Here is an 11,407-nt window from a genome sequence, read left to right as displayed (position 1 = left end):
TGCCTCCTGAACTCTCCACCCTTGACTCTCTTCCTGAAAACCAGCTGCCACCCTCAAGGCGGGCTCGAGAGCGCCTCCGGCCGTTCCACTGTCACTGTGCCCTGGGGACACTGTGTTCCACCCAGAATGGCCTGGCAGCAACTCTTCTTGCCATTTCCACCATCTCACACCCAGAGCCAGCGAATGGGAGCGCCGACACTGCGTGCTGTGAGCGCTCAGGGTGACAACCAGGAAGCAGCTGCGCCGGTGACAATGACGGGGCCTCCTGTCCAGGCAGATGTGGCTCCCCAGCCTGGCCTTCCTCCCTCCCCATGGAGTGCCCTCATCCACAGCCCACCTTCTGGAAGATGGGACTTAGAGAAAGAATAGGCCTCCCTGACATGACACACGCTGGGCAGAGGGCGGGCCAGCCTTCTGCCAGGGTACACAGCGACTGTGGGCAGGGCCAGGGGCACACAGCCGGTGTGGAGCCGGCCCTTGACCCCCTTTGACCCCCAGCAGGTTGGCTTTGGCTTCTCTCAGGACCCGCCCCTTTGCTAAGACGACGGCCACCAGGAACGGCCATGATCTTCAAGAGAGCCAGCCCTCGGCCAAGGGTGTGGCTTTCCCCAGAGGCCCGGCAGGCCGCCTCCCTGGGAACCCGAGGTCCATGGGGACAGGGGCGCAGGCAGTGTGTGCACACCTACGTGCCCTCCCCCTCCATCCGCCGGCTCCACGCCGGCCTCAGAGCAGCCCTGCCACACCCTCCTCACGGCGCTGAGCCTTCCTGACCTTCCGAAATGACTGTCAATGTCGCCCCAACCACACAGAGGCCCCGGAGGGAGTACAGGGACTTTGCTGTGTCCCGGTACCCAGAACAGCCTCTGTGTCGGGGCATAGCTCGAGGGATCTCTGCTTGAGGGAGGAACGAACATGGGGGTCATCTACGACACCTCAATTTCGACTCAGACCTCTGGTCACGCCCCTCCTGGCTCTGGGGTCCAGCCTTAATGCCCTCAGACCCTGCCTACCAAGCCCCCAGCCCCGTCTCTGCCTGGCCCACTCACTGCCTTTGCTACTCAGAAACGGGGTGAAGCCCACCCCTTCTGGGCATCCCTGGGTGCCAGACGCCAGGGGTTCGGCCATGCCAGGCTGGGCTCCCAACACGGCTGTGGATGGACACCCCTTATCCCCCCATGGATGAGATGCTCGGGCTCGGGGCACCAGTCCACCCCGGATTCTGATGCCAGCCGTGCAGCTCCACTGCTCCCCTCAGGCAGGTCTCTCCACACTGCCCAGGGGCTGCCCACCCTGGTCCCCTCTCCGTCCTCTGCGGGCCGAATGATGTGGGCTGGAAGAACCCAGCCCTTCCTATCTGCTCCCCAAGTCTCCTCTCTGGTCCTCTCAATGAGCTGGCCCCCAGTGCTCCAGGACCCAGATGCTCCAGGCTCCTTGGGTTGGGGAGGAGCCCCAGGTGGCCAGCCCCAGTTGAGGGTCCTGTAAGGCAGCATGGGAGGCCGAGGACAGGACAAGAGATGGCCATGGCAAGAGAGGGGCCAAACTGCACTTGGGAGCCCTGGGCCAGTCCCCAGCCAGGGAGTGGTCTTTAGGGTTCGGCCCTCAGGGTTCACATGACTCAAATGGGTGAGTGGTTGCAAACCTCACATGCAGATGCCTAGATTCCTGCATGTCACACCCCTTTACTTGTAACTCACACAAGCTACACACTCATGGTGGCCAAGCACAGGCACAGCTTGTGTGGATCCTCTCATACGTGCCCTGTCTCTGCGCTAACTGCGTCCAGAGAGCAAGGGCTCTGTCTGCAGCTGCGTTTCAGCACCCAGAACAGCACCCAGTAGGAGCTCACGGAGCCTCCAATGATGCAGAGGACCTGGGATGTGTCCCTCTCACTCGCACGGCAGGCAGATGGCCCTGCTCCTTGCTCCGCCCAAGGTGCCTGGGGACTCCCCACGACGTTCCCCCGTTTCGGACCCTAGGCCACCGTGGGCCCTCCTGGGCGCAGACACACTGGGCCCCAAGCCTCTCCTTCTCTGCTGCGAGGGCGACTTGCTGCTCAGGTCAGCCGGACTTTCTCTGTGCCGTGGGCCCCGTTGCCCATTGGTGAAGCCGCAGACGCTTTCTCAGGACGATGCTTGTTTCTGAAGCATACAACTACACAGAGGACCATGGAGGAAGCACTCATCACACAGCAGTTACCAGAATGTGATACAACGAATTGTGAGGTGGCAACGCACGTGCTTCCCCGGGAAGCCGTTTCACAGGAGCCGCAACGGGCCTAATACTGACTACAATTCAAAGTCACAGTGAGAGGACGCCGTTTTCCAAGCTGTCTGCTACGAACGTGGAGGGGCATAAACAGCGGCGACGTCTACTGGTGACCAAGCCCCAGGTCCCGGAACACCATCGTTCCGAGTAAGAAAAAATGCTAAATTCTGGTTAGAGGTTAGCAACGATGGAGATGTAATCTCTTTCTCAGCCAAGTTCATGAAGCCCATGAATTACATCCAGAACCTCATCCGTGCACCCACAGAAGGATGGATGCATCTAGAACAACCCTCCTGCATGCTGGTGTTTGGCCACCACAGTCTGCCCTTCCTCCCATCCCAGCACCTGGCGCTGAGTGGTGCCCCCTCCCCTGAGCTCCCTCTTCCCCTGGCGTGGTTCTGCCTATAGCTTCAGTTCAAGTATTTCTCTTGGGGGTGCTACTGGCGTTTGTGGAAGGGCACCTCCATCTTGCAGGATTACTGGGCTCCCTGGCCCCACCCACTAAACACCAGAGCACCCCCACTCCTCAATCACTGGGATGTCACAAGTGCCCAGGGCAACTGCTCCCGCTTGGGAGCCACCCTATCCCAGGGGACCTTCCCAGGTATCTGTCTGACCTGCAGCCACCCCTCACCCCAAATTGCCCACAGGATGAGGCCACGCACATAGAACAGGGAGGCACCTGTTCTAACACCTACCATCCTGGGTGTGAGGCCACAGGAGGGAGACTGAAGATGCTGAGCAGTGTTCTGTGTACAGCCCCCCGCCAGGCTCGGGGAGGGGGCATCGCGTTCAGGAACAGTGGGGCTGGATTACGTGAGAGACTTGTCCTTTTAAAATACCTCCTTGGGTCCAGTGTGTCCCAAGCTCCATGACAACTGGAGATGCATGTAAACGCCTGAGCCAACCCTGGTGGCAGGTGGCATCAGCTTTGTCCCCAGGGCCTGGTAGATGGTCACAGGTGGGTGGGATGCTCTCCCTGCAGTCTCCAGAGCCAAGGATGGGCCTCCTGGCCCCGGTTCTTGAGGAGACACTTGGACGTCACACATGGGTTACCACAGGGATGGGATCAGACAGCCACAGGGAGCCCCAGTCACCAAGGATGCGCCAGACACGGGTGGGCTGCGGGGTCCACAGTGGGCACTGAGGCTGCACCAGATGCAGGGACAGGCTGAGACGATCACCCATAGGCCACAGCTCTGTGACGCACTGGACAGCTGTCGTCGGTGTTTGGGGAAATCGTCTGAAGGTGCGCACAGGCCACAGACTTCCCTACAGGTCCCACTGCTGATGGCGCACCCAGGAAGCACCCCTGCCGGGGAGGCTAGGGATCCGGTCGCTGCTGCATGGGCCTAAGGCTTGGCTGTTCCCAGGAGGGAGACGTGCTGTTCTGGGCCTCAGAGCATCGGGGTCACTGCAGCCAGATCCATCACCCCAGGATGGACCAGCGGGTGAGGACGGGGCTCAGGATGGACAGTGCCGCAGGGTCCTGGGCGGCTGGATTTGGGAGTCCCCGGAAGCCCCAGCCAAGTTTCTCAGTAGAACCTGAACTTCTGTGGGGCGAGAGCAGAAGCCTAGCAGCGTTGTACTTCCTGGCCCGCCCAGCTCACCCTTGTCCCTCAGGAGGAGCCAGGACAGCAGGCGGGCATGTGGTGCCCACTGTGGGGCTGGCTCTGACCTCAGGAGACCCACCGGGCGTGGCGGCTGGGCTGGGCTGAGGCTGGCCGGGCCCTCCTGCGGTGTGTGTCCTCACATGGCCCCGACACGGAGCTGCAAAGAAGCCGGGCCGTGTTCACAGCCTCCCCTCCTGTGCGCTCCCGGTGCCCCTCAGGCCTCTGGGTGCCTGCACCTGCGGGGTAGTCTGTGGCCTTGGCCCAGCTCCCCATCCTCTGACCCAGCCTCACCCCTGCTAGCCAGGCCCAGAGCAGGAGTGAGTCACTCGGCAAGCAAGTGTGGGGCTTGGCCCCAGGCGGCGAGGCCTCTCAGCTCTGAGCCCTGGGAACCCCTCTCTGGGACTCAGCTTTCCCATCTGCAAACTAAGTGGTATTCAGCCCACCCGGTAGACAGCCCCTGGTGCTGCCGACTCTGGGAACTCCTGGGGCACCTCAAAGGTGGGAGAGGACCAGGGGAGGGAGGGCCTGGGGAAAGAGGGACCCTTCTCTCCCTGTCCACCGGCTGCGCCCCATCAAAGACCTTGAGAGCCCACCAGGAGGCCTAGTTCACAGATGCCGCTGGGCCTCACCTCCCACTGCCCCGTGCTGGGCTCAGGGTTTCTGCTTCCGAGTCGCCTGGCCTCAGGGATGATTTGCAGTGGCTCTGTGGCTGGCCCTCCTCCCCACCACAGCCCTGGGAGGTCTCCTCCTCCTGAAGGAGCAGGACAGGTGGAGCCCCTGGGTGGCTGCCCTGTCACCCTGCCAAGCCTGCAGGACCCAAGGGGCACTCAGCACAAGAGAGCAGCGGGCCTCCTCGGCCAGCCACCGCCTCAGGAGACAGCAGTGGTGCAGCCTCCTGGCCCCCAGGCCTCCCTCATCTCTACATCTCCAAACCCTCGCCCTGCAGTCCCACTGCCTCCCCGCCCAAAGTCCACCTGAAGGGCTCTGCCCCCTGACAAGTGGGAGACTGGGGCCTGTCCAAGGCACACTCACACCACTGAACCACGACTCTCCCAGCCTGGGCTCCCGCAACGCAACCTGGAGAAGGTTTTCAGGCCAGCCTGGCCACTGCCCCCCACCCCAGTTCTGTGACGGCACAGGCGGCGGCATCCTCAGCCACTGCTGTACCACTAGACCTGGAACATCACCTGAGTGGCCCGGCCCTGCCACCCGGACCTGAGGGAAAAGCGGAGGCCCACGGCAGGAGGGGCTGGCCAAGGACCCAGTAGCTGTGCAGGGCCTGACGCTGAGGCCTCCCAGGCTTGTGGGGACCAGGCTGTGCCCAGAGAGCGCCTCAGGTGGACGGGGGTGAGTGGCAGGCTGGGGCGTGGTCACTCCCTCACACTGTCACCAGGGTCTCGGGCACATCTGTGCTGAGCTCTAAGCCCATTACAGAAACACGGCCCAGTGCTCAGGAGGCCACAATCACAAAACACCCAGAGCCTCGGGGTCTTTGCCACCTGATGGGAAGATGTAGGTGTGCCGGGCTGGGCTAGCTCCCCACTACAGGCTAAACTGTACCCCCAAAACCCACATGGCTGAGGCCTAACCCCGATTCCTCAGGATGTGACTTTGGGTGTGGAGTCTGTGTGACACCTCTCGTTAAGAAGAGATGGTACCGGTGGGCCCTGACCCAATTAGAGTTGTGTCCTTGTGAAGAGGGGGAATTCGGAGACAGAAGCGCACACGGGGAGAGCGGCCTGTGGAGGCCAAGGTGGGATTTACCAGCCAAGGAACACCTGGAAGCTGGCAGTGTGGAGCAGACTTCCTCACGCCTCAGAAGGGGCCAGCCTGGTGGACGCACACTTGATCTCAGGCTTCCAGGCTCTAGAACCACGGACGACCCATGTCTGCAGCTGCAGCTGCTCAGCCTGTGGCACTGTTCCGACAGCCCTGGAAACACTTGTGCTCCCAACCCCGGCACCCAGCCCCACCCGGTACCGGGAGGGACTCGGGGCCTTCCCCACCCTGTGTGGAGCTCAGGCCTGCCCAGGCGGGGGCCCCGGCAACAGGGAGGGTACGTGTTGGCCGATGCCCGGGAAGTCAAGCTGTGGGGAAAGGCCGGAGGAGGCGGGTGCTGTGGGTGGGCACAGGGAGGACACCGTGGAGGGAGGGGACAGGTGTGCCAGAAAGGTGGGTCAGCAGGAGCTGGCGGGAGATGGAGCTGAGGCCACAGGCAGGAGAGGGGATGGTGTGAGGCTGGCCTGGCCCTCTCAGGGGCTCCTAAACCCACCCGGATTCCAGACTGCTACCGAGCCTGGGGCAGTGGGGTATGCCCCTCACACCTGTACTTCCCCGCCACCCACGGCGGGCCAAGGGCAGCCAAGGAGGCTGCAGCTCTGGGCCCTGCTCCTCAGCATAGCCCTCACCCAACACCTGGCTGCTGCGTGCTCCCGCCTGGGTGTGGGGCCTGGAGGTGGAGGGAGAACCGCCCGCTTCCCTGGCCCAAGCCTCAACACCCTACACTGCACCCCCCACCCCGTCAGGAGACTTCAAGCGGCTCAGGGCACCTGCCCAGGCCTGTTCCCAGACAAAGAAAAGCCACCACAGGCACGGCAGCGAGGAGCCCAGGCTCCGGGCAGGCGGCTCCTGTCTGGAGCCCCCACGTAAAGTGGGCAAGATCCCGGGCCCCACAGGGCTGTGCTGGCGACTGGCAAGATCCAGGCCGGCTCAGGGCTCTGGGCACGTCGACACTGGACAGGGCCAGGGCTGGGCAGAGGCCCCGCATGTAGGAGTGCCCACCCCAGCCTCCACCACGGGTCCAGTCTTGATCTGAAATAACTGAGCCAGGCCCTGTGAGGACGGTCTGGCTTAAGAAAAGGCGTCCAGCCTCTCACTGGCCCGGGCACGGCAGATGTGGGGCCCCAGGCCAGACCTGACCAGTGTGGCTTCGGGTGAGCCCCTCCCCTGGCTCGTCTCCTGTCTAGTGCCAGCCCATGGCTGACACCTGTGCCATGCACATGGATGCCATAGAACAGACATGGGCATGCTCAGACACCCACTAAGCTCTCCTCCGAGGTCTGATGTGCAGCCCTGCGGTTCGGCCACCAGGTAGGTATGCCCCCCGTCCTGCTGTAGGGAGGCGTCCTCGGTACCTGGGAAGGCGCGTTAACCACAGGCTCACACTGTCCCTAGAGATTGCTGGTGTGAAGGTACAAGCCCCAACAGACTGGACTGCCTTATCTCCCTGGCTTGGCACCTGTGGGCACCTGAATAGGGTACCTGTCCACTAATCCTGGGGCACTTGGCCCAGTGTGGGTGGCTGGTCTGCCCTGTTGGGGACATGCAGGGCTTCGTGGCACACGCTGGGAACAGCCCTCCTAGCAGTCCTGCCCCCCACAGGCAGTGGAGCCAGGCCGGAGGGTGAGGCCCAGCTGTGTGGAAGTACGACTCTCTGGGCGGCACGGCCAGGAGGAGCTGGGCAAGACCGGAGGCAGGGAGGCCAGGAGGAGCTGGGCAGGACCGGAGGCAGGGAGGCCAGGAGGAGCTGGGCAGGACCGGAGGCAGGGAGGCCAGGAGGAGCTGGGCAGGACCGGAGGCAGGGAGGCCAGGAGGAGCTGGGCAGGACCGGAGGCAGGGAGGCCAGGAGGAGCTGGGCAGGACCGGAGGCAGGGAGGCCAGGAGGAGCTGGGCAGGACCGGAGGCAGGGAGGCCAGGAGGAGCTGGGCAGGACCGGAGGCAGGGAGGCCAGGAGGAGTCCCGGTTAAACGTTCTAAATGAGCCTAAGAGATGGAGCCCAGGCCCAGGACAGGAGAGCGGGCTGGGAAAAGCACGAGCCTTCCAAGAAGTGCAGAGCCTGGGACAAGCAGCCTGGCCTGGCTTTACTGGGCAGTGGTCAATGCTGTAGCCAGATCTGGCCCTAAGAGGAGCGCTTCACCAGGCTTCGGTTTACTCATTTGTAAAACAGGTCTACAAAGACCCCTTCCGTCTGATGTGTTAACCAGACAGTCATGGGAAACGCTCCACAAGCCGGGTTTCCCCGTGTTCTAAGAGCACCCGGGTTCATGAGTGCTCTTAGGGTACCGGATGCCATTAACTGAGAGGGGTGTGTGTGGGCCTTTGCAGAGGGTGTCCGGGGAGAGGGGGGACACAGCCCGAGGCTGCCCACGAGGTGCACAGCCCCAGCACCTTCTCCCTCCTGGCCACCTTCACAGGAGGTCACGATTATTCCCTTTCTCTCCTGTGAAAAGGCCCGGGGACACCGGGGATGGGATGGGGGTGGGGGCATCTGTGCCTGAGGAGTGCTGTGGCCTGCCTGGCATGGGAGGCTTGGCGGTCCAGCAGGGACCCAGGCCATTGCATCACGCAGGTGGCCCTGTCGGATCAGGGCTCCCCTGGGCTCCGCTCGGTCCTCACGCTGGGGATGATGAGCTCCTCTCATGGAGGGAAGAGCAGCGACACAGCAAAGGCTGAGGACCACCTGGGAACCACGCTGAGCCACCTGGACAGGACAGGGCACAGGGAACTGTCTGGTCTGGTGAGGGGCTGTGTGCCAGGCAGCCTCCGAGAGGCCCGCTGAGCAGGACTGAGAAGCAGATGCTGGTGGGCTCTCCCGGGCCCAGCCGGAAACACCCTTTCAGGGATGTGGGAAGGAGAGGTCCAGGCCCTCTGAGGATGGTTCCCCAGAGTCTGTGTGCCAACCACCCAGGCGGTCAAAAGTGGCACAGAGAAGAAAAGATTCCTTCGGAGGGGCCCAACGAGTGGGTGCTTGGTACAGGCTCCAGGGCACGCTGGTGCCCGCTCCAGCTGGTAGGCGGGCTGCCACTCTGGGCACAGGAGCGGCTGGGCAGTTTCTGTGCCACCGACAGTCCCATGCCCCACTCTGACTTCTGCCCCCAAAACTAGACCTTAGGGCCCCTCCTCTGCCTCAGGCTGGGAGACCCTGAGAACAGGGGTGTCTGCTCCAAGGAGACCCTCCTCTACCCTCCATGTCCCGCTCCCCACCCAGCACAGCCAGGTATAAAGCCAGGAAGGCCTGGGGGTGTCCTCCGAGAAGCTATCCTGGGCCGGGAGCCAGCCGGGTTCTGTGGCTACAACAGGGAAACAGTTAGAGGTGGTCCCAGCGACCAGGGAGCTCAGGTGCCAAGGTGGGGCGCTGAGACCCCAGCAAAGGAGCAAACAGACACACATCACATCACATCAGACATCAGGAGGCCAGACAGGTGCTCTGGGAACACCTATGCCCAGACACAACCTTGCAAGCAAAAGCAGGAGGCCTGCTGGCACGCGGGCAGTGATTCAGCATGAGGGCTCCTGGCAGCGCAGGGGCACCCGGGGTGCCACTCGGCTCCGCCCTTGCCTTCTGTGCCGTGCCCTGGCATAAAGGGAGGGTGGCCGGGTGCCCTGCTGCAGTGCCACCGTCCAGCTGGTGGCACCCAGGCCTGCTTCCTTGCCCATAAAATGGGATGACCACTGCTGTCACTGCAGCCTGGCCTGGCTGTCCAGAGGACAAAGGAAGTCTCAAAAGGGAGCCCAATATGTCCCGACACTGCCCTCTTTCATGAGCTAAGTCTCCTGTCACCCACTGCCTTTTCTGGTCCCTGGGGCAGAGGCTGGGAAGGCCCGCCACACACCCAGGGCCAACTGCTCTCCTTCCCACGAGGAAGTATCAGATCTCTACCCCACCTGCTCCGGGCCAGCGAGGTGCCCAACCCCAGGGGGTTCGCATTCCCTCTGAGGAGGTCCCCCTGGAGAAGTCTGGATGCAGGAGAGAGGGGACTGAGAATGGTGCCTACTAGGCCACAGAGGGTCCAGGGCTCCTGGGAGGATCTGCCGCCCAGGGGCCACCAGAGGGCGCCCGTTCCACGGAGCCCAGGCCCAGCCGACAAAGCAGGAGGGGACACTGGGCTTGGCTGCCCCAGGACTGCTGCGACCCGAGGGAGTCACCCTGTTTCCCTCAGCCCACGTGGCTCCCACACTGTCTTCTGTACCCTGGGTCCCGAAGGTTACTCCCCACTTCTGCAGCCATAGGGGGTGCAGGGAGAGAGGTTCCTGTCGGAGGGGCACCGACTGGAGAGGCAGTAATCCTGCCCAGTGCAGTCCTGGCCTTGCAAGTCTGGAGGAGGGTGGCACCCCGAGCCCTGGCAGCAGGCACTGGCCCATGGCTGGCACCGTGGTTAGACAGCTGCAGGGCGTTCGTACTCCCCACGCGGGGTGGACAGCATCCCCTGCCCCATCAGACACAGAGAAATCAACACAATCTGCCTGTCCTGGGTCCCTAACCCACTGCATTCCCCAACCCAAGAGCAGCACGACCCACACTCTCTGGCCCAGCCCCACATCAACTTCTCCATCTTGTCCTGCCCTCTCTTCTCACCCTTGGGAGATGGCCAAACTCTGCCACTCTGTCTCTCTAACTGGCAACAGTGGCCTGTGGATGCAAGGAAGGTTAGGTTGGCTCCTAAGGATGCAACTGCCCAGAGGACATGGAGGTGCTAAGAAGGGCTGGGGGCTAATGGTTTCCAAAGGAGCAGGGTTCAAGACTCTGGGCTGGGAGGGGCAGCCACTCAGCCACTCTGCTACCCTGGTGCCTGGGGAGGGATTCACCAGGAAGGCCAGGGATGCCTCTTTATGTGTGAGTAGAGGGGCAGAGAACGAACCCAACTGTGCCGAGGGCCTTGTGCTGCCTGGCATCCAGGTGTGCCCCCTACCTGGGACAGACAGAGCCCAGTGGGGTGAGGGGGGCAGCCTGGAAATGACAGGGTTGCCTCTGCAGAGGCACAGGAAGGCCTGTCCTGGGGACTTTGGAGGGGTCCTTGCAAGAACCTCAGGCTGGTGGGGAGGGCATCGGGAGATCCGCCAAGGGACTGTCTGCGGGTTCTGTTCCTTCTGTGGGGGGCGGTCAGGGGGCCCTTACAAGAACCTCAGGCTGGGGGCATCGGGAGATCCACCAAGGGCAAGGGGCTGTCTGTGGGTTCTGTTCCTCCTGGAGGGGCAGGGGTCCAGAGCCCGACTGCCTCCTCCCACCACTCCGCCCCCCGCGGCAAGGCATGGCCACAGACCCCCCTCACCCAGATGCACGGATCCTTCTTGCTCAGAATCCCCAGGACCATGGGCATTTCTGCGCTGAGTCCCCATCTGAGTAGCCCTCCACCCGCACTCCCACTCCCCTGGTTTCAGAGGAGCCCCCCAGAGCAGGAACCTAGTCTGTTTTGTTCTTGCCCACTGGGTCCCTGGCACGCGGTACAGACCGAGGTTGGTTCCCACACGTGGAAAGGTGAAGCTTGGGTTCCAAGAGTTCCTTAGCACACGGAGCCCACCGTTCCACCCACCCGTACACTTCTGTCCCCAAAGCTCCTCCGGGACCACAGGGAGGGAAGAGGCAGAGCCGCAGGCGGCTGCAGGGCTTAGGGGGCGCCAAGAGGGCCGCTGTTCTTACAAAGAAATGACACGGCCCCTGGGCGGGATCCAACGCGCCGACCACCTGCAGCTGGACTCGCGGCACGAGGCTGCCCAAGCGCCAGGCGGGGGCCGGCGCGTACAAGTTCTTC

At 63.0% G+C, this 11,407-nt stretch overlaps 1 protein-coding gene across 1 annotated transcript in view, besides 2 other annotated features; it reads right to left on the bottom strand.

Moving 5' to 3' along the window:
• GPC1 (glypican 1) overlaps positions 1-11,407 on the bottom strand; it is a 32,414-nt gene that overhangs the window by 19,928 nt on the left and 1,079 nt on the right. The window lies entirely within an intron of this gene.
• Positions 9,984-10,485: an enhancer, noted in NCBI's record as "H3K4me1 hESC enhancer chr2:241377081-241377582 (GRCh37/hg19 assembly coordinates)". NCBI's record gives its function as "activates a minimal SCP1, AML or CMV promoter by ChIP-STARR-seq in naive H9 embryonic stem cells {active_cell/tissue: H9 hESC(naive)}" and the evidence as "EXISTENCE:reporter gene assay evidence [ECO:0000049][PMID:30033119]".
• Positions 10,537-11,113: an enhancer, noted in NCBI's record as "H3K4me1 hESC enhancer chr2:241376453-241377029 (GRCh37/hg19 assembly coordinates)". NCBI's record gives its function as "activates a minimal SCP1, AML or CMV promoter by ChIP-STARR-seq in primed H9 embryonic stem cells {active_cell/tissue: H9 hESC(primed)}" and the evidence as "EXISTENCE:reporter gene assay evidence [ECO:0000049][PMID:30033119]".

The sequence above is a fragment of the Homo sapiens genome, chromosome 2 (genome assembly GCF_000001405.40).
Source record: "Homo sapiens chromosome 2, GRCh38.p14 Primary Assembly".
Classification (NCBI taxonomy): Eukaryota; Metazoa; Chordata; class Mammalia; order Primates; family Hominidae; genus Homo; species Homo sapiens.
The sequence above is the reverse complement of the archived record's forward strand: the minus strand, read 5'-3'. Positions and strand labels throughout refer to the sequence as shown.